Source organism: Homo sapiens, chromosome 2, assembly GCF_000001405.40.
Source record: "Homo sapiens chromosome 2, GRCh38.p14 Primary Assembly".
NCBI classification, from domain to species: domain Eukaryota; kingdom Metazoa; phylum Chordata; class Mammalia; order Primates; family Hominidae; genus Homo; species Homo sapiens.
This window is the reverse complement of record NC_000002.12, coordinates 15,517,805-15,542,870: the sequence shown is the minus strand read 5'-3', so window position 1 is coordinate 15,542,870 and position 25,066 is coordinate 15,517,805. Positions and strand designations below refer to the sequence as shown.

Genomic DNA, 25,066 nt, shown 5'->3' with positions numbered 1-25,066 from the left:
GATGCAATGCAGTGCATAGAATCTGTTTATCTTATCAAAATGAAATAAGAGGAAAAATCTGTTATCACATGGTAGTGTTTCCTTAGCACATAAATATTTTCAGGGGAAAATTGTCATCTTGCTGGTTTTTATGTAGCATCTGTGCATATGTCAATTTTTTATTCTTTTGTTATTTTGCACCTGTGCCTGCTTTGAAGTTTGATTTTTTTTTTATTTTTTTTATCTTATTTATTTATTTATTTTTTTATTGATCATTCTTGGGTGTTTCTCGCAGAGGGGGATTTGGCAGGGTCACAGGACAATAGTGGAGGGAAGGTCAGCAGATAAACAAGTGAACAAAGGTCTCTGGTTTTCCTAGGCCGAGGACCCTGCGGCCTTCCGCAGTGTTTGTGTCCCTGGGTACTTGAGATTAGGGAGTGGTGATGACTCTTAACGAGCATGCTGCCTTCAAGCATCTGTTTAACAAAGCACATCTTGCACCGCCCTTAATCCATTTAACCCTGAGTGGACACAGCACATGTTTCAGAGAGCACAGGGTTGGGGGTAAGGTCACAGATCAACAGGATCCCAAGGCAGAAGAATTTTTCTTAGTACAGAACAAAATGAAAAGTCTCCCATGTCTACTTCTTTCTACACAGACACGGCAACCATCCGATTTCTCAATCTTTTCCCCACTTTTCCCCCCTTTCTATTCCACAAAACTGCCATTGTCATCATGGCCCGTTCTCAATGAGCTGTTGGGTACACCTCCCAGACGGGGTGGTGGCCAGGCAGAGGGGCTCCTCACTTCCCAGTAGGGGCGGCCGGGCAGAGGCGCCCCTCACCTCCTGGACGGGGCGGCTGGCCGGGCGGGGGGCTGAACCCCCCCACCTCCCTCCCGGACGGGGTGGCTGGCCGGTCGGGGGGCTGACCCCCCCACCTCCCTCCCGGACGGGGCGGCTGGCCGGGCGGGGGGCTGAACCCCCCCACCTCCCTCCCGGACGGGGCGGCTGGCCGGGCGGGGGGCTGAACCCCCCCACCTCCCTCCCGGACGGGGCGGCTGGCCGGGCGGGGGGCTGAACCCCCCCACCTCCCTCCCGGACGGGGCGACTGGCTGGGCGGGGGGCTGACCCCCCCACCTCCCTCCCGTGAAGTTTGATTTTTTATTTTAGCAGTCTAAAGACAGGGAATTGATTTTTTAGAAAAAATTATTCCCACTTACAAAAATGGCTGTTCCAGAATGTATGCAGTATCTTGTTAGGCTTTAATAAAATTAATTAGACTTATCCATGCTGAATGACCTCTCCGGGATTTTTTTGTATACTTTTAACCTATTGATAAATAATCAAAATGAAGAAAATCGTTGATGCCTGGTGTACTTTCCCCATATATTCCCTAGAATATGTATTACAAAGTTAAGGGAAGTCTGAACTCTACACATTATTTCTTTTAGGTAGATAGATGACTTCCGTTATAGAATTCACATTTCATTGGTAGTCCTGGAGGGATGGTGAACTCTTACCATTACCTTGCCCTGTTAATAGAGATTTTTTTTTCTGAGAGACATAGGTGTCACTCGTTAGTGAAACATTAATCACTTTGAATTCCAGGTCCTGGGAATAGAATGTTGAATAAGACATTGTTTCTGATTTCAGTGAGCTCAGAGACTTGTGGGGCAAATAGGTAAACAACAATATGATGTGATAAATGCTATGAAAGAGGTATGTACAGAATATTTGGTGGCACAGAGCAGCCAGTTTTCAAGGGTGTCAAGGAAGGAGGAGGTAACAAACTAGACCTGGAAGGATGAGTAAGATTGGAGATGAACAGTCTAGGTAGAGCAGCAATATGTATAAAAGGCACGTATGGGCGGGGTGCGGTGGCTCACGCCTGTAATTCCAGCACTTTGGGAGGCTGAGGCGGGCGGATTACTTGAGGTCAGGAGTTCAAGACCAGCCTGGCCAACATGGTGAAATCCCGTCTCTACTAAAAATACAAAAAAATTAGCCAGGCTTAGTGGCACACGCCTGTATCCAAGCTACTCAGGAGGCTGAGGCAGGAGAATTGCTTGAGCCCAGGAGATGGAGGTTGCAGTGAGCCCAGATCGCGCCACTGTACTCCAGTCTGGGTGACAGAGTGAGACTCTATCTCAAAAAAAAAAACAAAAAACAAAACAAAACAAAAGGCATATATTTGCTCATTTGCCAGGTTGTCGTGGTATGAGTGGGTTATTAGGTATATGACAGAGGAAGTGGTAGAAGGCAAAACTGGAAAGCTACAATGGGGCCTTTTGGGAAGGGCCTTTCATATATATTGAGGCATTTGGACTTGATTCTGTTGGAAATGGAGAACCTTCAGGACTTTTAAAGTGGCAGAAGAATGTGATCTGTTTATCTTGTTATTTTAGAAAGATATCGTCTGATAGTATGGAGGAAGGAATAGAAGGGAAGAGACAGATGGCAGAAGACCTGTTAGTAGGCCAAGCAGGAGATGGTGAGACCTGAGCTGGGATAGTGGCAGAGGCATCAAAAGAAGGCCATACGTTTCTGGAGCATTTTTGAGGCAATTGTAAGGCTCTGGTGGAGAGGCAGTGTGTTGTAATGACACCTGCACTGCATGGAAAGACAGGATGCTGATGTTCTGGGTTTTGTTCTACTCTTGACTCAAGGTGACACCTTGAGTCTCCTACTCATTTTGAATTCTTGTTGGGAAAGGAAGAACACTTGTCTATCTACCTAACTCTTCAGTTCTGAGATTCCAATAAGATGAAACCGAAGCAAACGAAACAATAAAAAATCTCAAACAAATCTAACATAGAGTTTCACATCCTCTTTTTCTTCTTTTGCAGCTGATAGCCTTTCTCTCTATTTTACTGAAAATTCAGAACAGAAAAAAATTCAGTTGCTGAGTTATTAGAATTATTAAGTTGTTGATTATCAAAATCTTGAAATTGTGTGATTGACTCATGAGTTCTTGATTTACCTGCCTCTTTCTATGTGTGTATGTATATGTGTGTGAGTGTGTGTGTGTGTGTATATATATATATATTTCCCCCCTTTCTAATACAATGTTAGCATAGTCCCAATTTGTATCTTGGCTTCTATATTTGATGTATTTAAAAGATCAAGTTGCAATTTTTATTTTTTGCTTTTAGAGGAGTGGAACTCATTGGATTAGAATTATTGTCTACCCATTCTGTATGCTTTAGATCTCTCTGAGTATTACAGATATTTTGAGGTGTATTATTCCTGGGCCTTTACCAGACCAGGGGATGCTCAGCATTCATCAGACCATGCATCAGTAGACTTTGCTTCTAAAATAAATAGGGCATAGTTGCAGTGGTTTGTATTTCCCACTCTTACTTGAAGTGTGTTTCTGGAAACTGCTCTTTTTTATTGAGGGAAGCTTTATTAGAGATCCTTAGGAGATGACGTAATTATTGTACTTGAATACTTACTTTAGTTGCAGTTACTAAAAGCATTAACTATCTTTGTAATATATTGTTAGAAGCACCTCTTGTTTTCTTTTGTTCTAGTTCCGAAAGACCCGAAACCCCAGTGGAGACGGGTAGCATGGAGTTACGATTGTACCCTACTGGCCTATGCCGAAAGCACAGGAACTGTGAGGGTGTTTGATCTCATGGGAAGTGAACTCTTTGTCATTTCCCCGGTATGTACATAGCTTAAATTGAAAACATAGTTTTTTCAATGTCATGTATGTATAGGTACTTGAATAAAAGAGTGTGAAGGGGGGGATAATACAAATATAAATCAGAATAATAAGCTGTGGACTTAAGACGCCCAGAATCTAGTTAGAAATCTGTATGCATGCAATAGTTATTCCTTGTATTTTGTAATACACTATCCAGATGTAAACCACGTGGTAGTAAGTAAACACTAAATATAGGTACAGAAAGTTGTGATAAAGCTCTAGTGACAGAAAGAAGTCAGTGGTCTGTCACAACAGGAACAACTTCAAGAGGAGTTGGAATTCGTTACCCTACAGGAAATAGAAATTGAAAAGGCGAGTAGAGAAAAACAAATGGTAGTAGTAATTTGTATTTGTATACTATTTTATTCTTTATTAATGCCTTTGATATATATTATGATTTTATATTCATAACAGCCCTTTGAGTAGGTTGGGCAGATGTTCTCATTTTGTCTAGAAAACTAAGATTGAGTGGGAACAAAATGACTTTTGTATGACAATTCCGTGAATAATGTCTCTTCTAGGAATATAGTGCTTTTTAGTTTCTATCCTCCTTCATCAACTGAACGAGATACAGGGTCAGATAGAACAGTGGTTCTCACTCTGGCTGTATCTTAGAATCACCTGGGGAGCTTTATAAGGAAAAGAAAAAAACAAATTACCAGATTGCCCAGGCGCTACTCACAGAGATTCTGATTCATTTGATCTTTGTGGGGCCTGGGTATTAATATTGTTTATAAGCTTTTAGCTGATTCTAGTGAGAAGCTAGGGTTGAAAACCAATGATATAGATAATGATTTTTTTTTCAGAAATAATGAGTGGAGAAACTAAAAACGTGTGTTGTGCTCATATTCTGGGAATCTTAGCCAAAATAAGGAGTCTGGATTCTTATTTTCTAGACTATTTCTGGCTAAAAGAAATACAATATGAGCTGTATGTGTGCTCAAATGTAATTTTATATTTGGTCACATATACAATAACTACAGGTGAAGTTTATTTAATAGTAACTACAATGAGAAGCTAAAATAAGAAACAGGTGAAATTTATTTAATACTGTATTTTATATCATCCAATATATCCAAAATATTATTTCAACATGTAATCAATATAAAACATTATTAATGTGATAGTTTATGCTCTTTCTTTGATTTTAAATTTTTGAAATTTGATGGTATTTTTATATTTATGACATATCTCAATTTGGACTAGCCGTGTATCAAGTGTTGACTGTGTGGTTCTAGACAATGAGGAACCATTCAGGGGTGATTGGGAGGAAAAACTTTTTCTCTGCCTGCTTAAATTTAGCAGCTAGGGGCCTGCAAATTAAACTGACAAAAGACAGATTAGCAGGAGAAAAGTTGTACAGTTTTTATTGATGTTAATATTTTTACATGTACAGGGAGCTTCTCAGAAAAGACGTGAAAGCTCAAAGAAGTGGTTAGACTCAGGCTTATATACCATTTTTTCTTTTTTTAAAGATAGAGTCTTGCTGTTGCCCAGGCTGGAGCACAGTGGTGTAATGATAATGATCATAGTGCAGCCACACCTGGCTAATCTTTTAAACTTTTGTAAAGACAGAATCTTGCTTTGCTGTCCAGGCTGGGTCTTGGACTCCTGACTTCAAGTGGTCCTTCCACTTTGGCCTCTCAATGTGTTGGGATTACAGATGTGAGCCACCCCATCCAGCCTTATATACCATTTTAATAGAGGGATATAAATTGTTGAGATGTGACTAGACAAAGGAAAGGGAATTTTGGCTTTTTGAGGTGGTAAATTGTGGGAAAGTGACTAAGAAATGCATGGGACAAATTAATGGAAGAAAGGGATTTTAATAAGGTCTGTTTACACAGACTCATCTTGGTATGACTTCTGGTTTCCAGGGATGAGTCCATCTCCTCCTCCTGGTACTGAGGAGCACTGTCACAAAGATAAATTTTTGCCTTGTTTTTAGGCAGTTAAGGGGAGGGCAAAGAATTTTTCCTGCGTCTGTTGATTCTCAGTTGCCTTCAGCTCAAAATAATCCTTATGCCAAAGTGGCATATTTTGGGTCGGCATATTCGAATCCCCTTCATGGGTGATAAACTTTATTTTGTGTGCTTCCCAAGATGTACAGGCCTTCAAATCTTTAGCAGTTTAGCCTGGTATTTGGTTAATGGAGAAAGGTTAACACTGAGTGAGTATTTCATGTGTAGTTTCCTTTAGGTTGCTGATTAGGCAAATGGAAACTGGAGACTTTTTTACCGCAGGCTACTGCTGGCAGTGGAAATTAACATTTGGAAGCTTCTATCTTTAAACAAGCTCTTAGAGTTTTTTGAGGCTGAATGGTGGCATTATCTTTGTTTTTTTTCTGCAATTGACATACAATTTGAATAGAAATTTCCTATGTAGGTGAACATCTTCTTCAAAGGGGCTGCTGTGGTTTCAGCCTGGGTCTGAGAGGGCTGGTCTAGATTTGGGTGTCTAGCTCTAGGCATTCTGACTTGCATGATTCTTGAGTATACAGAGCAATTCTGAAGTTATCTTACATAAAGTGTACCTGAAGCCAGTGTATCAGATATTCTCTAATTATGCATGTGTTAACTTTTATCTAGTTTTTTTTTTTTTAGTAACTTAATTTCCCCCTCTTCTGTAGGCATCTAGTTTTATAGGTGACTTAAGCTATGCCATTGCTGGGTTGATATTTTTAGAATATAAAGCAAGTGCACAGTGGTCTGCAGAACTCCTGGTCATCAATTACCGAGGAGAACTTAGAAGTTACCTTGTAAGGTAAAAATGTGCTTTGGAAGCCATATTTGAAATAATGTTTATTTCTCTGGTTTAATGTCAGATTTTGATATTTCTTTTTTTTTTTGCTTTCTGTCTATTATGAAAAATTGCAAATATAATAGGGAATTTGAAAGAGTGGTGTGGTGAACACCCATTACTTCCACTTGGGTTCTACAATTAGGATTTTACTGTGCTTGCTATATCATATTTCTATTCATATATCCACCCCTCTATCCGGCTATTAATCATTTCGTAGTAAGTTGGACATATCAGTACTCAAATGCTTTAGCATGCATATTATTAGAGTTTAATATTTGCTTATAGTTTTCTTCCTTTTGAGGTAAAATTTGCATGCAGTGAAATGCATACATCTTGATTATACCAGCTGGTGAGTTATGACAAATGCGTACATCTGTGCAGTTCAAACCTCTGTCAAGATACGGAACATTACCATCATGCTAGAAAGTTCCCTCATGCCCCTTCCGAGTAAATCTCTTTCCATACCCACTCCCAGAACAACTAGTGTTTAAAATTTTTTTAAAATCACAGATTAGTTTTGCCTATTCTAATAGTTTACGTTAATGGAATAATATACAGTCATCCCTCTGTATCTGTGGGTTCTGCATTTGTAGATTTGATACTGTGGATTGAAAACATTCAAAAATTGTGTCTGTATTGAACATGTACAGACTTTTTCTTGTCATTCTCTGAACAATATAGTATAACTACTATTTACATAGCATTTATATTGTATTGGATATTATAAGGAATCTAGAGATGATTCAAAGTATACAGGAGGATATGTGTGGGTTATATGAAAATACTATGCCATTTTATTTTATTTTTTTATTTTTATTTATTTATTTATTTATTTATTTATTTATTTATTTATTTCTGAGACGGAGTCTTGCTCTGTCGCCCAGGCTGGAGTGCAGTTGAGTGATCTTGGCTCACTGCAAGCTCTGCCTCCCGGGTTCATGCCATTCTCCTGCCTCAGTGTCTCAAGTAGCTGAGACTGCAGGTGCCCGCCACCAAACCTGGCTAATTTTTTTGTATTTTAAGTAGACACAGGGTTTCATCATGTTAGTCAGGATGGTCTCGATCTCCTGACGTTGTGATCTGCCCGCCTCGGCCTCCCAAAGTGCTGGGATAACAGGCGTGAGCCACTGCGCCTGGCCTACTATGCCATTTTATATCAAGGGCTTAAACACTTACAGATTTTGTTATCCTCTGAGCATCCTGGATCCAGTTCCCCAGGGATGCCTAGGAATGACTGTAGTATGTACTCTTTTATCTAAGTCTTCTTTCATTCATCATATTTTGAGATTCATTCACATTTTTACATACATCACTAGTTTATTTCTTTTTACTTACAATTAGTATTTTATTGTATGAATAGCTCATGATTTTAGAAATCCATTCTTCTATTGATAGAACCCTGTTTCCAGTTCTTGGCCCCTGCAAATAATGCTGTTACAACCATTCTTGTACAAGTCTTTATGGATATACATTTTCATTTCTCTTGGGTCAGTATCTTCAAGTGGGATTGCTGGGTCATAGGGGAGACATAGTTTATTTTTATAAAAAACTACACTTTTTACCAAGTGGTTTTATCAATTACCTTCTCATTGTGACGTATTCGAGTTCTGGTTGTTTTATATCCTCAGCAATATTTGGTATTGTCTGTCTTTTAAATTCTAAACATTTTATTGGGTATTTAGTGATATTCATTGTGGTTTAATGGTATTTACTTCTTTCATACCCTCTTAAATTTAGTGTTGGAACAAATCAGAGCTACCAAGAAAGTCACTGTTTCAGCTTCAGTAGTCATTATCCTCATGGAATCAACACAGCTATTTACCACCCTGGTCACAGGTAAGTAACCATTTGTTCTCATATTTAGTGGGACATAGAAATGTTGGCATAGATTCAGATAGAAGAAACTATTCTGATTCTTATGTTGACTTCTTAATTTCCTCCTCTTGTGCGTAGTTATCTTTAATATCTATAATACTGTTGTCATCTGATTATTCATGCTTATCTATCTGGCTCACTGAGCTCTTCTGAGCCAGATGGGGCACTGGGAATATTCAATGAGGAATTTATTCTCCTCTTTTAACCCCCGGACCTTATTTTTCTCATCTGTAAAATGGGTATGATACATAACTCAAGAGAATTAGTGAGAGAACTAGTGCTATATATAAAGTGCCCTCACACAGAACGGCCTCAGTAGATGCTACTTCCCTTCTTTCTTTCCTTGCTAGTTACCGCTGCACTGATGTTGCACAGTTCCTTCCAGCAACTGTGTCCCATCATTCACATATGCCACTTTTCTGTGTATTTGCATCTACATTGAGGCTTACTAGAAACCTTATGGCATTTTCTACTTCCAGTGATTTCTCCCCTTTAATTTTGTTATTTGAGAACAGAAGCCATATACGTTTTATAGGATAGCCAAGCTAAATGTTTGGTTTCATAAATGGGAAGAGTATCATATTTTGAATAAGACAAACATAACTTGAGTTTTTGAATTTTGAGATTTACTCTGTGTTTATTGACAAGTCCTTAACTTGGAATCTCAGTATACTTAAGTCTTTTTCCTTGGAAATGTATGCAGGTTTGTATTCTATTCAGTCATATGTCTGTGTTTAGTTCAGGACTTTATTATTATGAAATTTTTATACTAGAACACACACACACACACACACACACACACACACACACACACACACACACACGCACACCCCCCGAAGTCCTCCTTGTGCTCTTCCCCAATCCCATCGTCTCCGTTCTAGAGATGATTACTGTCCTGAGTTTTGTGTATATGATTTTCTTGCTTTCTTTATAGTTTTATCACTCATTCATATTTAGTTTTGCTGTTTTGACTTCACGTAAATGGAATCACACAGAAGACATACAAGTCTCACTTCGTGACTTCCTTTTTGGTGCACGTTTTGCTTTAGTTTATTCATTTTTAACTACTATTTAGGACATTTCATTTTACAAATAATTTGCAACATATTTATTCATTCTCCTATAGATGAAAATTTGGTTTGTTTCTAAATTTTTTGTTATAAAGATAGTACTGTGGTAGAAATAATTATGCATTCTTCTGATATATATGTTCAAAAGTTTCTATAGGATATGTAACTAGGAGTGCCAATGCTGGATTGTCAGGTTAGTACATCTTCAACTTTACTAGATAATGTCAAATGTTTTCCAGAGTATTTGTGCCAGTTTACAGTCCCAACAGCAGCTTATGAAAGTGTCTCTCGTTTCACATTCTCGTTAGTGCTCTCGATGGTGTGAGACTTTTAAATGTTTGCTCGTTTGGTAGGTGTAAAAGAACATGTCACTCTGGTTTTAATTTGTACTTCCCTGGTTACTGATGAAACTGAGTAGCTTTTCATATGTTATCGGCCATTCATGTTTTCTCATCTATGAAATGCTGGTTTTGTTTCTTTTCTTTTGATAGGGGGTTTGTTGTTGACATTTTTATATAATCTAGATATTAATTCTTAGTCTATTATATGCATAATGAGTATTTTTTTTTACCAAGATGTGACTTTTCTTAAAAATTTTTTCTTATATTTACATTTAATTTTTATGAGTTGTATTTGCACATAATTTCAAGTGTTTAGTTTTAAAAACTGACTCCTCCACCCAACTTCTTGCTTTCCAAAGGTAACCACTTTTAGCTATTTTAATTGATTCTTTTGATTGTTTTCATACATTTAAATAAAAAGCTTACATTGTACTTCTTGATTCCAATTTTACACAATGTTTATTTACTTCCCTTTGTGGAAGATGGATATTTAGTTTTCTTACTCTACCACGAGTATGCACAAAGAATTTTCACTTTGTTCTCCTGTTATATGTTAAATCCTGTTATATCATAATTTTATAGTTTTTTTTTTTTTTTTTTTTTTGAGATGGAGTCTCACTCTGCCGCCCAGGCTGGAGTGCAGTGGCGCAATCTCGGCTCACTGCAAGCTCTGCCTCTTGGGTTCATGCCATTGTCCTGCCTCAGCCTCCCGAGTAGCTGGGACTATAGGCGCCTGCCACCAAGCCCGGCTAATTTTTTGTATTTTTAGTAGAGACGGGGTTTCACCATGTTAGCCAGGATGGTTTCGATCTCCTGACCTCGTGATCCGCCCACCTCGGCCTCCCAAAGTGCTGGGATTACAGGCGTGAGCCACCATGCCTGTCCTATAGTATGATTATTATTATGGTTATGTAGCTGATACTTACAGGTAAGAAAAGAAGCTTGTATAGTATTTCATGATTTCAATGATTTTCCATATTTCATGATTTCAGTGATTTTCCATTTTTATTTATTCATTTATTCATTCAACAAGCATTTATTGATTTCCTACTCTGTGCCACATACTGTTCCAGGTGCTTAGGGTATATCTTCCTCGTGGAACTTTTCGAGGGAGTGACAGACAACAAACAATGAATATAAAGTACATGAGGAGCTAAGTATTATGGGAAAAAAATAATCAGAGATGGAGAATGGAAGGGTGGGAGAGTAGGGGGCAAGTTCTAGTTTGAAATATGGTGGCCACATTACCCTCATTGAGGAAGGTGACTTGCAAAGACTTGGAATAGGTGAGGGTATTACTAGTTTTTAGGTATCTGGGGGAAGAGTATTCTATCAGCAGGAATAGCCAAAGCAAAAGCCCTGAGTTAGAAGTGTGCTTGGCATTTTCTAGGAACAGCAGTGAAGACAGTTAGGCTGAAGCAGATAGTGACACAGAGTAATAAGGTGAGGTCAAAGAGAGCGTGGTGAGTGCTGAATCATGCAGGGCCTCGTATGCTATAGTAAGACCCACCTGGTAACTTCTTACTTATTTATTCTCCTTGTAGTTAATAATTCTTTTTAATTTGCCACGTTTTGAAATGTACTTATCACAGACTTTCCCCTAAACTCACCCCCATAGTGTAAACCTCCTTTTAGGTGTGCTGTTTGATCATCTTGAAGAGGTCTCAGAACTTTCTTCTGAGATCATGCGAGATCAGGTGCATTCAGGGTGGTACGGCCATGGATGGAGATCTCAGAACTTTCTGATCTACTCCAGTTTGGATTTGACACCTGCCATATAGCTATTGTCTTGGAATTTCACTTCACCGTTATCCAGAAGATGGCTTCCCTATTTCTCTTTGGTTGCGTGACCTGTTCCTTAGATTTGTTTTTTTCTTTCTTGGTTTATTTAACTGTTTTGGTGGGTCACAACCTCCTGTAACTTCCTGAGAAACAGTACATGGGAAATAATATTTTTTTGAAGCCCTGCATATCTGAAAATGGCTTTATTTTATCTTCATGTGCTTAATTGATCATTTGACCGGATAGAATTGTAGGATGGAAATACTTTTTCCATTAAATTTTGAAGGTATTGTTCTATTTTCTTCTAGCTTCTAGTAGTGTTTATCTTGAGAATGTCATTGTAATATAAAATCCATGTTTCTTTCTTTCTTTCTCTGCTTTTTGTCGTCTTCCTCTCTGAGATCTAAGATTTTCTTTTTTTTTCCCCTGGCGTTCTGAAATTTGACCATGTTATGACTTGGCGTAGGTTTATTAATATCCACAGTGCTGGCCCTTCACTTTAGATAGTCAGTAATCTCACTTTTGGGAAAATTCTTTGAATTATTTCTTGGATTATTTCCTCTTCATTTTTTTTTCTTTTAATTCTCTGGAATTTCTGTTATCTAGATGTAGGGTCTCTTAGAATGACCTGTAATTTTTTTCACTCTCTCCTGTTTCCCCTCCTTTGTTTTTGTGGAAAAAAGAGAAGTAAAATATTAGTTTAATTTTTTCTGTATAAATACATGTACTTATTGAAGAAAGTAGTTTGAAATGCTTTTTGAGATCTTTTATAAATTGTAAATTATTTTTGTAAATTATTGTTTTGGTAAATTATTGATACATATGATTTTATTTTGAAAAATCTATATTCTGGTTAATTTTTGCTGATATATTTCCTATTTTACTAATTCTTTTGTGCTGCATCTCCTTTTTAAATTAGTTATTGTGATTTTAGATTTTATTGTTATATTTTTCATTTATAGAAGTTCTCTTTAGTTCTTTTAAAAATCTTTCTTAAGGAAAGAGAAAAGGGAGTTGAAATGAGTATTTAGTGAGCCCCAGGGTGTTTTGAGGGTTAAATATTCAGCACATAGTAGGTATTCAGGAAATGATAGGTGAAGTTATTATTTAGTATTGAATAAATATAATACTGTTAACTTACTCCTTTTGATATGTGTGGCTCCTGTGTTTAAGAGTTAGTTGTTTATCCTTAAGAAGTTTGATAATCAGTTTCAAAAATCTAGCTAACTGAAAAAATTTAAAAATTTAAAAATATTAACTACAGTAGGTAATCTGAAATAATAGACTTGTGTTTTATTTTGGATATAGTTGAATGTTGATATGTGAAGTTAGAGGTCTTTACATTTTATAATATTGAATGTAATCATATATGCTGCAAATAATTACACAATTTATTTTAACAAAACACTTTCGATTATAAAATAAACATATTACAATTATAAAATCATGCCATTTTGATTTTTTGTCAAATTCTTATATAAAGACTGGCCTTTCAATGGTTAATATGTTAGATCTTGTATTTTCTGCACCTAGCTTCACATTGTCTTGAATTTAAATTTTGCTGTTAGAAATGGGATAGACTTTGTTTTGCTGTGACATGCTCAGTTCTTTGTTGTGAAATTTTGCCAAGCCTTGATACTGCATATACAGTACCCATGGCACTCTGATTGCTAGTTTGATTTCTGTTGAGGGTGACCTCTTGTTTATGTTAACATTTCCTTTGGGATCCCGTTTTATTGTTTAAGTGAGGTTTCTTCCTTTAAAGTCTTTTTGGGTTTAGTTCAGCTTGATTTTTTGGTTTTATTTTATTTATTTATTTGAGAGAGGGTCTCACTCTGTCACCCGCGCTGGAGTCCAGTGCGTGATTTTGGCTTACTGCAGCCTCGACCTCCTGGGCTCAAGCGATCCTCCCACTTGAGCCTCTCGAGTAGCTGGGACTACAGGTGCACACCACCACACTTGGCTGTTGATTTTGGAGAGATAGGGTTTCACCATGTTGCTCAGGCTGATCTTGCATTCCTGAGCTCAAGCAATCTACCTGCCTCAGCCTCCCAAAGTGCTGGGATTACAGGCATGAGCCACCACGCCCTGCCAATTTTGTTGTTTTAAAGTGTAGTTATTAATACCTCACTTCCTCAGCACATATATATATACTTTTCGAATATGTTTCTTAAAAAGCGTATGTGTTCAGTTACAGAAGTTGTTGGTATTAGGAAGATTGATGAGGTGGAAAGTCCATTCTATCTTTATCTGGCCTGCTTTCCATGACTCTCTTATTTATTGCGGCTAGCTTTGTGGAATGCACCATGTTAGCGGTTGGGGGAGATGTAAAGATGGAGAGCAATTCTGACCTAAGATCTCATATTCTTAGATAGGAAATATATATGTGTGTGTGTATATATATATACACACATATATATATATATATATATTTTTTTTTTTTTGAGATGGAGTCTCACTCTGTTGCCCAGGCTAAAGTGCAATGGCAAGATCTCAGCTCACTGCAACCTCTGCCTCCCCAGCTCAAGTGATTCTTCTGCCTTAGCCTCCTGAGTAGCTGGGATTACAGGCTCTTGCCATCAGGTCCGGCTAATTTTTGTATTTTTGTAGAGACTGGGTTTCACAGTGTTGGCCATGCTGGTCTTGAACTCCTGACCTCAGGTCATCCTCCCGCCTCAGCCTCCCAAAGTGTTGGGATTACAGGTGTGAGCCACCACGCCCGGCCAGTGTATGCATATATATTTTACTGATGTCTAAAATACATTTCTTTCACTGCATGTTCTATGTGTGTGTGTGTGTATATATGTATATATATACATTTACATATCTAAACATATATAATATATAAAAATATATTTCATATATATTAAAAATATATATTATATAAACATAATATAAATAATATAAACATTCATATTGTATATGTAAATGTACATATATATAAAAATATATTAAAAATCTATATATGTAAACTAGAATGCAAGCTAGAAAATAAGCGCCTTAAAGGGATGCAGATACAGTGATGTGGGGGTCCAGATAAAGGAGCTACTACTTGCTTGAAGGAGCAGGGAAGCATGGTAGGTAGCACGTGGGCTTGCTTTGGTGAATGGATACAATCCGGATATGATGGACATTCTAGATAAAGTGACAATGTTAATAGTGGCAAGGGAAAAGAAGTCATAGTGTAGTTTTGGGAAATTGTAAGTGGTGTAGCTTGGCTGATACTGTAGAGTGTGTGTCTGAGGGCAAGGGAGGTGATAGTGGTGGTGGGAGATAGGACATGGGAAGGGCAGGTTGAGGCCCATTAATTGGGAGTGGTAAGAGGCAGCTTATTCTTTAAGGGACTCAAATTTTTGAGCTGAGGAAATATGATCATTTGTATTTTGAGGAATGTTGATTCCATAGGGAGATACTAGAGGCTGGGTGACTCTTAGATGATCAGGTACTGGTTCACGCCACACGTAACAAGCACCTACTCATTATCTTATATGTTACTGCTATACTGTTTTTGTACCACAGTTTGGGCGCTGTTTAAATACACCACATTTTATTGTTAATTTTTTTCTATTTTGATGAATATATCCTGCTATAGTTTGAACATCTGCCCTCCAAAATCCATGTATTAAAACTTAATGGCCAATGCGACGGCATTAAGACATGAGGGCTTTAAGACATGATGAGGCCGTTAGGACTTCTCCCTCATGAGTGCGTTTAAGGCCCTGATAGAAGAGGCTCCACGCGTTGTCTTTCTGCCTTCTGCCATGTGAGGGCACAGTGTTCCTCCCCTCTGGCAGATGCAGCAACAAGGTGCCATTTTAGAAGTGGAGAGCAGCTCCCACCAGACAACCAACCTCACTGCACCTTGGTCTTGAACTTCCCAGTCTTCAGAACTGTGAGAAAATAGGTTTCTGTTCTTCATAAATTACTCAGTCACAGGTATTTTGTTATGGTAGTACAAACAGATGGTCACATATCCCATATCTCCAATTAGACTATCAGCTACTTGAAGGCAAGGAATATGTACTGTATACCTTTGTAAAACCCACAGCAAATAGTATATGAGCTCTGGCTCTGAGGACACCTTGAATAAGTAACTCTTATTTTTTGAGTAGAAAAGAAAATTTATGTTTCTTTCTTTTGACTTTTCCTTTTTTCTCCTTTTCTATTTTGTTTTCTTCTTCATACCCCACATTTCTGTGTTTTTTTTTTTTCTCTTGTCCCTTTTAAAAGAAGGGTATTTTGTATCTTAATGCTGGACTGTTTTTGTTTGATTGTTTATTTCATACTGACTACTCCACTCTCTTGATTTGTTACAAAAGTCAATATTTGATTTCTTTTTTCCTGGCATTATTTCAGGAAGGTAAGTGGGACCGTAGGATTGAAATGATTACACACTGAATAATTATTATGGGATAAATTTCTTTTAAGTCAGATTATACTTATTACTTTTAAGATGTTTACTTTTTGATTCAGGATTTAAGCAATTGAGGGTATTTTTGAGGGGCAGTCTCCATTTAAATAAGAACATCTGGAAAGTTTGATATATTATCAAACCACAGAAGGAGGACCTTTTGTTGGTTGTACAATCATTTACATCTCTTGGTGGCAGTCAGTTTGGAGATGGATAACTACATTATTGTTTCTGAATGAAGATTGTTGTAAAGCAAGGAGTATGTGTAAGTGGCCTGTTGTGCATGACAAAAATTTTGCTAGGTTGTTTATATTTTCCATTATGTGGTCTTTTTTTTTAAATGAAAGAAGCTGAAATATTCATCACATTTTTATTTATTTTCAGTTATTCTAGTAATGTGGGCCTGTGATGTTTATCATCCACAAAGATTTTATAAATGTGAAGTAAATCAGCCAGAGTTGAATTTGGATAAATTGGTAATATACAAACAGGATTTTATGAAATTCATCGTTTTGCCTAATGTTGTGAGTATTGTTGAAGAAGAGAAACTGAGGTGGTAAATTTGGTGATATGAAACAAAAATTAATTGAGAAGCTTTGGGATAAGCTCTATGAATATGTGGATTTTGACTATTTTCTTTTTTATATATCCTAACTCACAGCCTAATGAATGTATTTTGTCCTCCTTAAACACGCAGACTATCTCATTCCAGTCTTGCTTCCTTTCTTCAACCTACCCCAACACCTCGCTGCCATCTTTTTTTCTATTCTTATTGTTCTCTTTGCTCTGTAGGTTTTAGCATAGATTATAGCCTAATTCTGGCTGAGAAGATTCTCTGATCTCTGCATTGTTAGAGGAGATGCATTAAGCCTTTCGCTCACGGTGGGTACTGTGCTTGCTGGTGGAGATTCAAATGTAGTACCTGTCCTGTAGGAGTTTATACCCTATCTGGGAATCACACAGTCCCAAATTAACACTTAATGAGTTAGGTTCAGATCAAAGACTTTATGTATAGATTTTTAAGTGGCACTTACTGCTTTCAGTAGTATATAACTTTTTAATTTTTATGATTTTGTTACTATTTTTGTTTTCAATTTTGTTGAAAATTTTTATAAGCAACATCTGATTTTGTTGTATTTCCAATATTTCCTTGATAGCTACAAAAAGTTAGTTAGTGTTTGAAGGTAACTACTTCTAGACCCTAATTTACATTTCAACAAAGTCAAAAGGCAGAGAACATGCCTACTTTCTTGGGAGAAGCTGTACTTTTGAAAAGCCACTCATGTTCAAATTCCTTGATGACCCTTTGACACTGAGTTCCAGTATATAATTCATTGATTTTTACTAAATGTATAGAGTTGTGCCACCACTACTACGGTTGGTTCTATATCTATAGAAAATTTTAAAAATATTTTTTAATAGAGTGTGTACCAGATTAGGAGACAGGAACCCTGAATTCTGTTCTTGGTTGTCCTACTTTCTAGCTGTGTAATCTCAAAGTAAGTCATTTACTCTTTCTGGACCACATTTTTCTGGCACTGTACTGGGCACAGACCATAGTTCTTCAAGCACCAAGGAGGGTCAGTATAGACTACTGTGTAGCATTTCACAGAGGAAAATTGTGGTGGAGAGTTTAACAGCAGGCGTTGTGGGAAGATTCATTGTCAGGGATACCTGGCAGGCAACAGCCGGCTTCAGAGACAAGACTTACTTCTCCTGGGAGAACCAGTTTGAGCAAGACTTCAAAAATTAAATTGCTGGTATTGGGATGGAAATTGGAAATTTGGTTTCAGAAACTGGACGGTCATTTAAATCTGGATAAAAGGTAGATGTGGAATAAGCCATATAGGTAGATGCTGAATATATTGTGTTTTTGCAGTGAAGTTGCTTAAATCCACCTTAAGGATCAAGAGGGAATTAAGTCTTCAGCTGATGTTCTTTAGCATCAGCTGTGGGTTGAGGGAAGGAAACAGGCAAGAGTGTCCAAGAACTTTAAGTTAATTTATTCATTAGTACTTGTGTTGACATTCTGTGCCAGGCCAATGGCTCTTAACAAGGTATGGACATCAGAATTACCTGTTGAGAATTAAAAAAAAAAAAATGCATACCTAGGTCCTACCCTCAAAGGCTTGATCAGGTGTCCTTCCCTCCAGTTAAAAATCCTTGTGCTAAGCTCTGGGAGATTTAATAGGATCAATGGGATAATGACTAGGATATCTTCCTTGCTTTGAAGTTGCCCTAATGAGGGATAGCAATAAATTTCATTTGGTTGTCGTCTCCCTTCCATTGATTATAGCTGCCTAAAAAACTGGGCCCATAAGGAGCTAAGATTGATGGTTGACATAGGTGTAGAAGTAGCAGAACTAGATATCCATCTTCTCTTGTCTGTCTGCATGGAGTGAGCATGTGTATGCATGTGTGTTTATTCTGACTTCCTTGGAAGCCTACAACATGCCAGTCAGACCCCAGTTTGGACCGGGACATGTAATAAGTGCAGGCACACAATCTATATCATCACATTTACTCAAGAACATCTGCCTTTGCAAAACCTGTGTGGGGCATCTTGCACCCCATAGCACAGTTAGGAACCACCACCATCATCTTGGCAGCCAGGAAGTCACTCCATTTCTGGTATTATTTTATCTTTTTCCATTCACCACGTGTCTCCCGAATAGGGCAGCATGATGGCTTTACGTTTTACATGCACAGATATTTTTAATTTAATTTGTGTAAAAAATCTGTGGTGTCACAGAGAGTAGTGGTTATGATAAAGCACAGTTATTTAGCTTTTATGTGCTACCTTTAAATAAATGAACAAATAAGATGATGTAAATGATGCCTTTAATATGCCAAAAAATCATTTGAAAGAAGTACACTAGTGTCTGAAGTTTGAGATATATTTCCTACCTTAGTTACCTTTTTTCAGTGTTCACTGTTAGTAGATAGAAATACAGTTTGTTTGTTTGTTTATTTATTTATTTATTTAGAGACAGAATCTCACTCTGTTCCCCAGGCTGGAGTGCAGTGGCGTGATCTCGGCTTACTACAACATCTGTCTTCCAGGTTCAAGTGATTCTCCTGCCTCAGCTTCTCGAGTTGCTGGGATTACAGGTGTCTACCACCACGCCCAGCTAATTTTTGTATTTTTAGTAGAGACAGCGGTTCACCAAGTTGGCCAGGCTGGTCTTGAACTCCTAACCTCTGGTGATTTGCCCATCTTGGCTTCCCAAAGTGTTGGGATTACAGGCATGAGCCACTGCGCCTGGCCTATAGAAATACAATTTATTTTTGCACAGTCCTTCCTTGGTATCTGTGGAGGCTTGGTTCTAGGACCCCTCGTTCATACCAAAATCCACAAATGCTCAAGTCCCTGATGTGAAGTGGTATAGTATTTGCATATAATCTATGCACATCCTCCTGTGTATTTCACATCATCTCTAGATTACTTGTAATACCTCATCCAATGTAAATGCTCTATAAATAGTTGTCATACTGTATTGTTTAGAGAATGACAAGAAAAAAAGTCTATACATGTTCAGTACAGATGCAACCATCCATTTTTTTTCCTGAATATTTTTCATCTGTGGTTGATTGAATCCACGTGTGCAGAACCCATGGCTATGGAAGGCTGACTGAGCAGTTAGTCTCTCCGGGAAATTGCGTATCATAGTAAAAAGTAATCTCTCGAGGTTCTCATGTATTTTTCATTGTGTTTAGTGCAGTACTGTAAACCTTGAATAATGCCATGGGACCCATACGAAGTGTCACTAGTGATGCTGGAAGTGCTCCCAGGAAGCAGGGAAAAGTCATGACATGACAAGAAAAAGTTGAATTGCTCGATATGTGCCATAGGTTGAATCTGCAGCTGTGGTGCGCACCGTTTCAGATAGATGATCGATCTTGTAAACAGACTATGTAAACATACAGTATTGATAAATACAGTACAGTACTGTAAATGTATTTAGTCTTATGATTTTTCTTAATATTTTCATTTCTTTAGCTTACTTTACTGTAAGAATATAGTATGTAATAAATATAAAACGTGTTAATAGACTGTTTTTGTTATCAATAAGGCTTGGGTCAACATTAGCCTATTAGTAGTTAAATTTTGGGGCAGTCAAAAGTTATACGTGGATTTAGCCTGCTTGGGGGCTGGCGCCCATAACCCTGTGGTATTCAGGGGTCAACTGCATATCGCTCCTACGTTAAACTTGGTTATTAATTCTCATGGTGTTTTAATGGAATCTTTTGGCCATATTTTTTTCCCTTACCTATTCTATATATTTTTATAGGCAGCCTTATCCAGACCTAATGGTTTTTAACCACTTGAATGCATATGTAATATCTTTGAAGTCTGTATCCCAGAAGTTACTCCTAGGCCACAGAGCTATTTATTCACTCGCTTACTGAACATCTTTTCCTGGATAGCTCACAAGTACCTCCTACTTATTATATTCTGTGTTCATCATTTTCCTCCTTCAAACCTGCTTCTTCTCATGTATTCCCATATCTTGATGTATAATATTTCCACCAGGCCAAAACTTGAGATTTATGTTAGATAATTCTCAACTCATGATCTTCAAGCCTTATTGATTCTTCTTCTTTAGTATGCCTCCTCCTCCCCATTTCTAGTGCCATCCTTATACTTCAGACCCTCATTACTTCTGACCCAATTTACTTATCAAGTTGTTTCCTCTTCCTCTAATTTCTTTTCATTTCTGTTGTCAGAAAGAATTACAGGTCTTAAAGTACTACTCTGATCATTTACTTCTCTACTTAAAAATCCTCTGATTTTCTTTAGCCCTTGGGATAGATATATAACTTCTTAGATTAGTATTAAAGGCCCTTTGTGGTTTGGCCTTTAATCTGTCTAGCTTCCTATTACACCCTCTCATGTTTTCTTTGCTCTGTGCCAACGGTCAGCACACTTCCTGTAAAGGGGCAGATTGTAAATATTTTAGACTGTGCAGGCCATATGGTCTCTGCTATAACTACTAAACTCTCCTCTTGTAGTGTGAAAGCAGACATGACTACATATAAAATTCACAGTATGGCTGTGTTCCATAAAGCTTTATTTACAAAAATAGATGGTGGGCTGAATTTGATTTGAGGGGCTGGAGTTTGCTGGCTCCTGGTCTAGATAACTCTAGGCATGTGTAAATTTCTGTATATCTCAAAATGTCATTGTTGTTTTTAAAGCCAAACACCCTGTCTTAGAACTGTATCATTAGTCTCAGCAGCACGGTGCTTTGCATGGAGTACCTGTCAGTAGATTTTAGTTAAATTATTAAATATACTTGACTTTGTCAAAGCATATAAAGAGAGAAAGCAATACTAATACACTAGAATGTAAGTTCCATGAAGGCAGAAACTTCCATCTGTGTTATTTACAGCTCTATTTTCAGCTTTTAGATGAGGGCTTGGCACATAATTGGTGCTCAATAAATATTTCTCAGTAAATAAATGAAAGCCTGACTTTGGAAGAATTAAAACGTAAGAGCTAGGTGGAACAACTGTATGAATGGAATGTCTAAAACAGGTTTTTTCCAAACTTTTCTTCGGTGAAATTACAGTTGAGTGAGACTGTAATTTCACCAGTGTTTCTTTGGTCACATCTCTTCAGGGTGACCAACGAATCAGAATAGATGTTGCTATAAGATGGGATCATCTGTGCCAGCTGGGTCGAAGAAGGTACTGTTAAGATTGCAGTCAGTTAATAATATAGTAATGCCATAAGATTGTTAACTCCACAAGGGCAGGGAATACTTGATTTCATTACACAGTATTTCCTACACTGCTAGATTAGCACCTTGCAAGTTTTAGACACTTTCTGAATTGACATTGAATTGACTTCAATTGAAGTTAAGGTTATAATAGATGAAATTAACTTTATAGAGCTTTTACTGATGACCAGATACTTATATATGCTGAATCCTACTCATCACAACATGAGATGGTTTCATAACTGCTATTGTGTATGTAGAGAAACCTAAGCTCCTAGAGGCTTAAGCAACTTTCTTAAGAGGGCATGACTGTTGAGTGGTAAATTCATGTCTTTGATTCCCATGCCCAGTAAGCTTTTCTCTGGCAAACTTTGGCCTGTGGGCCAAATGTGGCCTGTTTTTAAGCATAGATTTTATATTTTTTAAATTGTTGAAAAAAACCTCAAAAGAATATTTTATCATACATGAAAATCATATGAAATTCAAATTTCTGTGTTTATAAAGAAAGATTTATAGGAACATAGCCACACTTTTTTTTGTTTTACATATTGTCTGTTTTTTTTTTTATGCTCTGACATAAGTTAGTAGTTGTGCGAGACCATATGGCCCACAGAGCCTAAAATATTTATAATCTGGCCTTTTACACAGAATGTTTTCTGGCCCCTATTTTATGTCATCCAACAGTCTGTCTGAGTATGGGTCTAGTTCTGTTTGGGAGGTAGAAAGTAAGGCGTATTGAACTTCGTAGATTTTTTCGTAGTTCTTTTCTTCGAGACAGGGTCTTGCTCTGTCTTTCATATTTGAGTGCAGTGATGTATGTGATCTTGGCTTGCTGTAGCTTCTACCTCCTGGGCTCAAGCGATCCTCCCTCCTCAGCCTTCTGAGTAACTGGGACTACAGGCACATGTCACAACATCCAGCTAATTTTTTAATTTTTTGAAGCGATGGGGTCTTGCCATGTTGCTCAAGCTGGTCTCTAACTCTTGGCTTCAAGTGAGCCACTTGCCTGGGCCTCCCAAAGTGCTGGAATTACATATGTAAGTCACTGTGCCTGGCCTTTCCATACTTCTTGATTTTAAACTCTAAATTGTATTTAAAAAAAATTATAGCCGAGTACCACTCAGTTTTAAATATGATGCCCAGTTATCAAATTGCCAGGGAATGATTTCATTAGTGAACTAAGAAGTCCAGGAAAAATTCCCATGTTTTGTCTTTAATAATTAATCATTCAATATAATCAGTTTTCTGTGATTATTCTTAAGCACATGTTGACTAAATAGTCTGATGCTTCATAATTTGACCTATAGTAAAGTATATCTTTTAGAGATCATATAACAGATTCAAACATAAAGTAAAGCAGTGGTTCTCAAAATGTGGTCCCTGACCAGCAGCATCAGAAAAACTGGGGAAATGGTTAGAAATGCAAATTCTTGGCTGCATACAGTGGCTCATGCCTGTAATCCCAGCACTTTGGGAGGCCAAGGCAGGAAGGTCATTTGCACCTAGGAGTTTGAGACCAGCCTGGGCTACATAGGGAGATCCCTGTCTCTACAAAAGTTTAAAAAAAGAAAAAAATTAGCCAGGCATGCATGTGCCTGTATTCCCAACTACTTGGGAGGCTGAGGGTGCGAAGATCACTGGAACCTGGGAGGTACACTGCAGTGAGCTGTGACTGCGCCACCATTGCACTCCAGCTTGGGTGACAGAGTGAGACCCAGTCTCAAAAATTAAAAAAAAAATAAAGAAATGAAGAAGTTGAACTAAATGAGAACTTGTGGTGGATTCTGCTCATATTTATTCCTCTATATGAATTCATATCCCTGGTTGTTTGAGAAAAGGAAGGTACAGAAGGAATGCAAGCCCCCTAACCGGCACACCGTATGTGATACTGGACAAATGTGAGAGTTAAGAGTTATGCTGAACATTGATTTCCAAAAAGTTAGAAGTAGTTTACTAAGATGTTTCTTCAGTGGCTTAGCATATTCCTTATTGGTTATATGCAGTTTAGTAAATGTTAATGGGTGAAAGGAATGTCTCAAGATTATATAGTTTCTTTTTAGCAAAGGTTAGTTGAACTTGATACTTCTGATTCTAGACCCATCATTTTCCTGCTATTTTCCATAAAATTTGAGGTTGAAGAGTAATATGGCTTGGCTCTGTGTCCCCACCCAAATCTCATCTTGTAGCTCCCGTAATTTCCACGTGTTGTGGGAGGGACCTGGTGGGAGATGATTGAATCATGGGGGCGAGTCTTTCCCATGTTCTTCTCATGATAGTGAATGGGTCTCATGAGATCTGATGATTTTAAAAAAATGGGAGTTTCTCTGCACAAGCTCTCTTTGCCTGCTGCCATTCCACATAAGATGTGCCTTGCTCCTCCTTGCCTTCCACCATGATTATGAGGCCTCCCCAGCCATGTGGAGCTGTATGTCCAATAAAACTCTCTTTTGTAAATTGCCAAGTCTCGGGCATGTCTTTATCAGCAGCGTGAAAATGGACTAATACAAAGATTATTGGGTAATATAATCTTTTTCTTTCTCTTTCTCTCTCTTGTTTTTGTTAAGGGGAAGTAAAGTTTTGCTAATTCATTCCCATGTTGTGTGCTTTAGTGTAGAGGATTTAATTTGTATTATAAAAATTCCATTTTACTGTATCTTCATAGGATAATTTGAAAATATTTGCTTCAAAATGTTATTTTGAAATTAAGCACTTAAAAGTCAAATATTCTGTATATTTGAGGATGTAATGGTTACCACTGCATGTAAATATTCCAGGTGAAGGAATTTAATGCAAAAACAAATAACGCTAATGATATAAATTATTTGCTACAATGTTAGCTTTTATAGACTAGATTTCTTAAAAAAATCTAATAATTATTTTAGTAGTAAGTCCCAGTCCCAGAATACTTAAGATATAATCATTAATGCATATACAACCTCAAAATACCACAAGGCAAATTATATGATAATTTCCTTTTGAGTATTTCACTACACTTGTGGGTTGATGCAACGTGTTAAAGCCAATTCACTGTTTTTTTTTTTTTTTTTCCCCTAGACTTCATTAACTAGAGAAATTTATGTGCATAATTTGGGACATTGTATCTTGATGTTCTTCTTTTTAAGTTTAAAAAAAAGGGAGAGAGAAGGAGAAGTACAGAGAATGATGTAATAAACAGATGGTCCCCAACTTGTGATTTTTTTAACTTAAGACTTTTCCACTTTATGATGGTGCAGAAGCAATACACATTCAGTAGAAACTGTACTTAGCATTTTGATCTTTTCCTGGGTTAGCAGTATGTGTAGGATATTCTTGTGATGCTGGGTATGGCAGCGAACTGAACCTCCCAGTCTACCATGCAACCATGAGGGTAAT

General features: G+C 37.5%; 1 protein-coding gene across 9 annotated transcripts in view, besides 1 other annotated feature; it reads left to right on the top strand.

Annotated features, from left to right (window-relative positions):
• Positions 1-25,066, top strand: part of NBAS (NBAS subunit of NRZ tethering complex) — a 782,426-nt gene that overhangs the window by 18,464 nt on the left and 738,896 nt on the right. For 8 of the 9 annotated variants that reach the window (XR_007076390.1, NR_052013.3, XM_017004317.2 and 5 more), the window contains exons 7-9: positions 3,515-3,648; positions 6,320-6,453; positions 8,230-8,328. Coding sequence is in view for 7 of the 9 variants with exons in the window: in XM_017004317.2 (XP_016859806.1) it covers positions 3,515-3,648; positions 6,320-6,453; positions 8,230-8,328 (367 nt within the window). In the remaining 2 variants the exon portion in view is untranslated. The remainder of the gene's footprint in view (positions 1-3,514; positions 3,649-6,319; positions 6,454-8,229; positions 8,329-25,066) is intronic. The other variant, XM_047444735.1, reaches the window with a different exon arrangement.
• Positions 10,250-10,465: a silencer, noted in NCBI's record as "fragment chr2:15672530-15672745 (GRCh37/hg19 assembly coordinates)". NCBI's record gives its function as "represses an EF-1alpha promoter that drives an FKBP-Casp9 reporter gene in an ReSE screen in K562 erythroleukemia cells {active_cell/tissue: K562}" and the evidence as "EXISTENCE:reporter gene assay evidence [ECO:0000049][PMID:32094911]".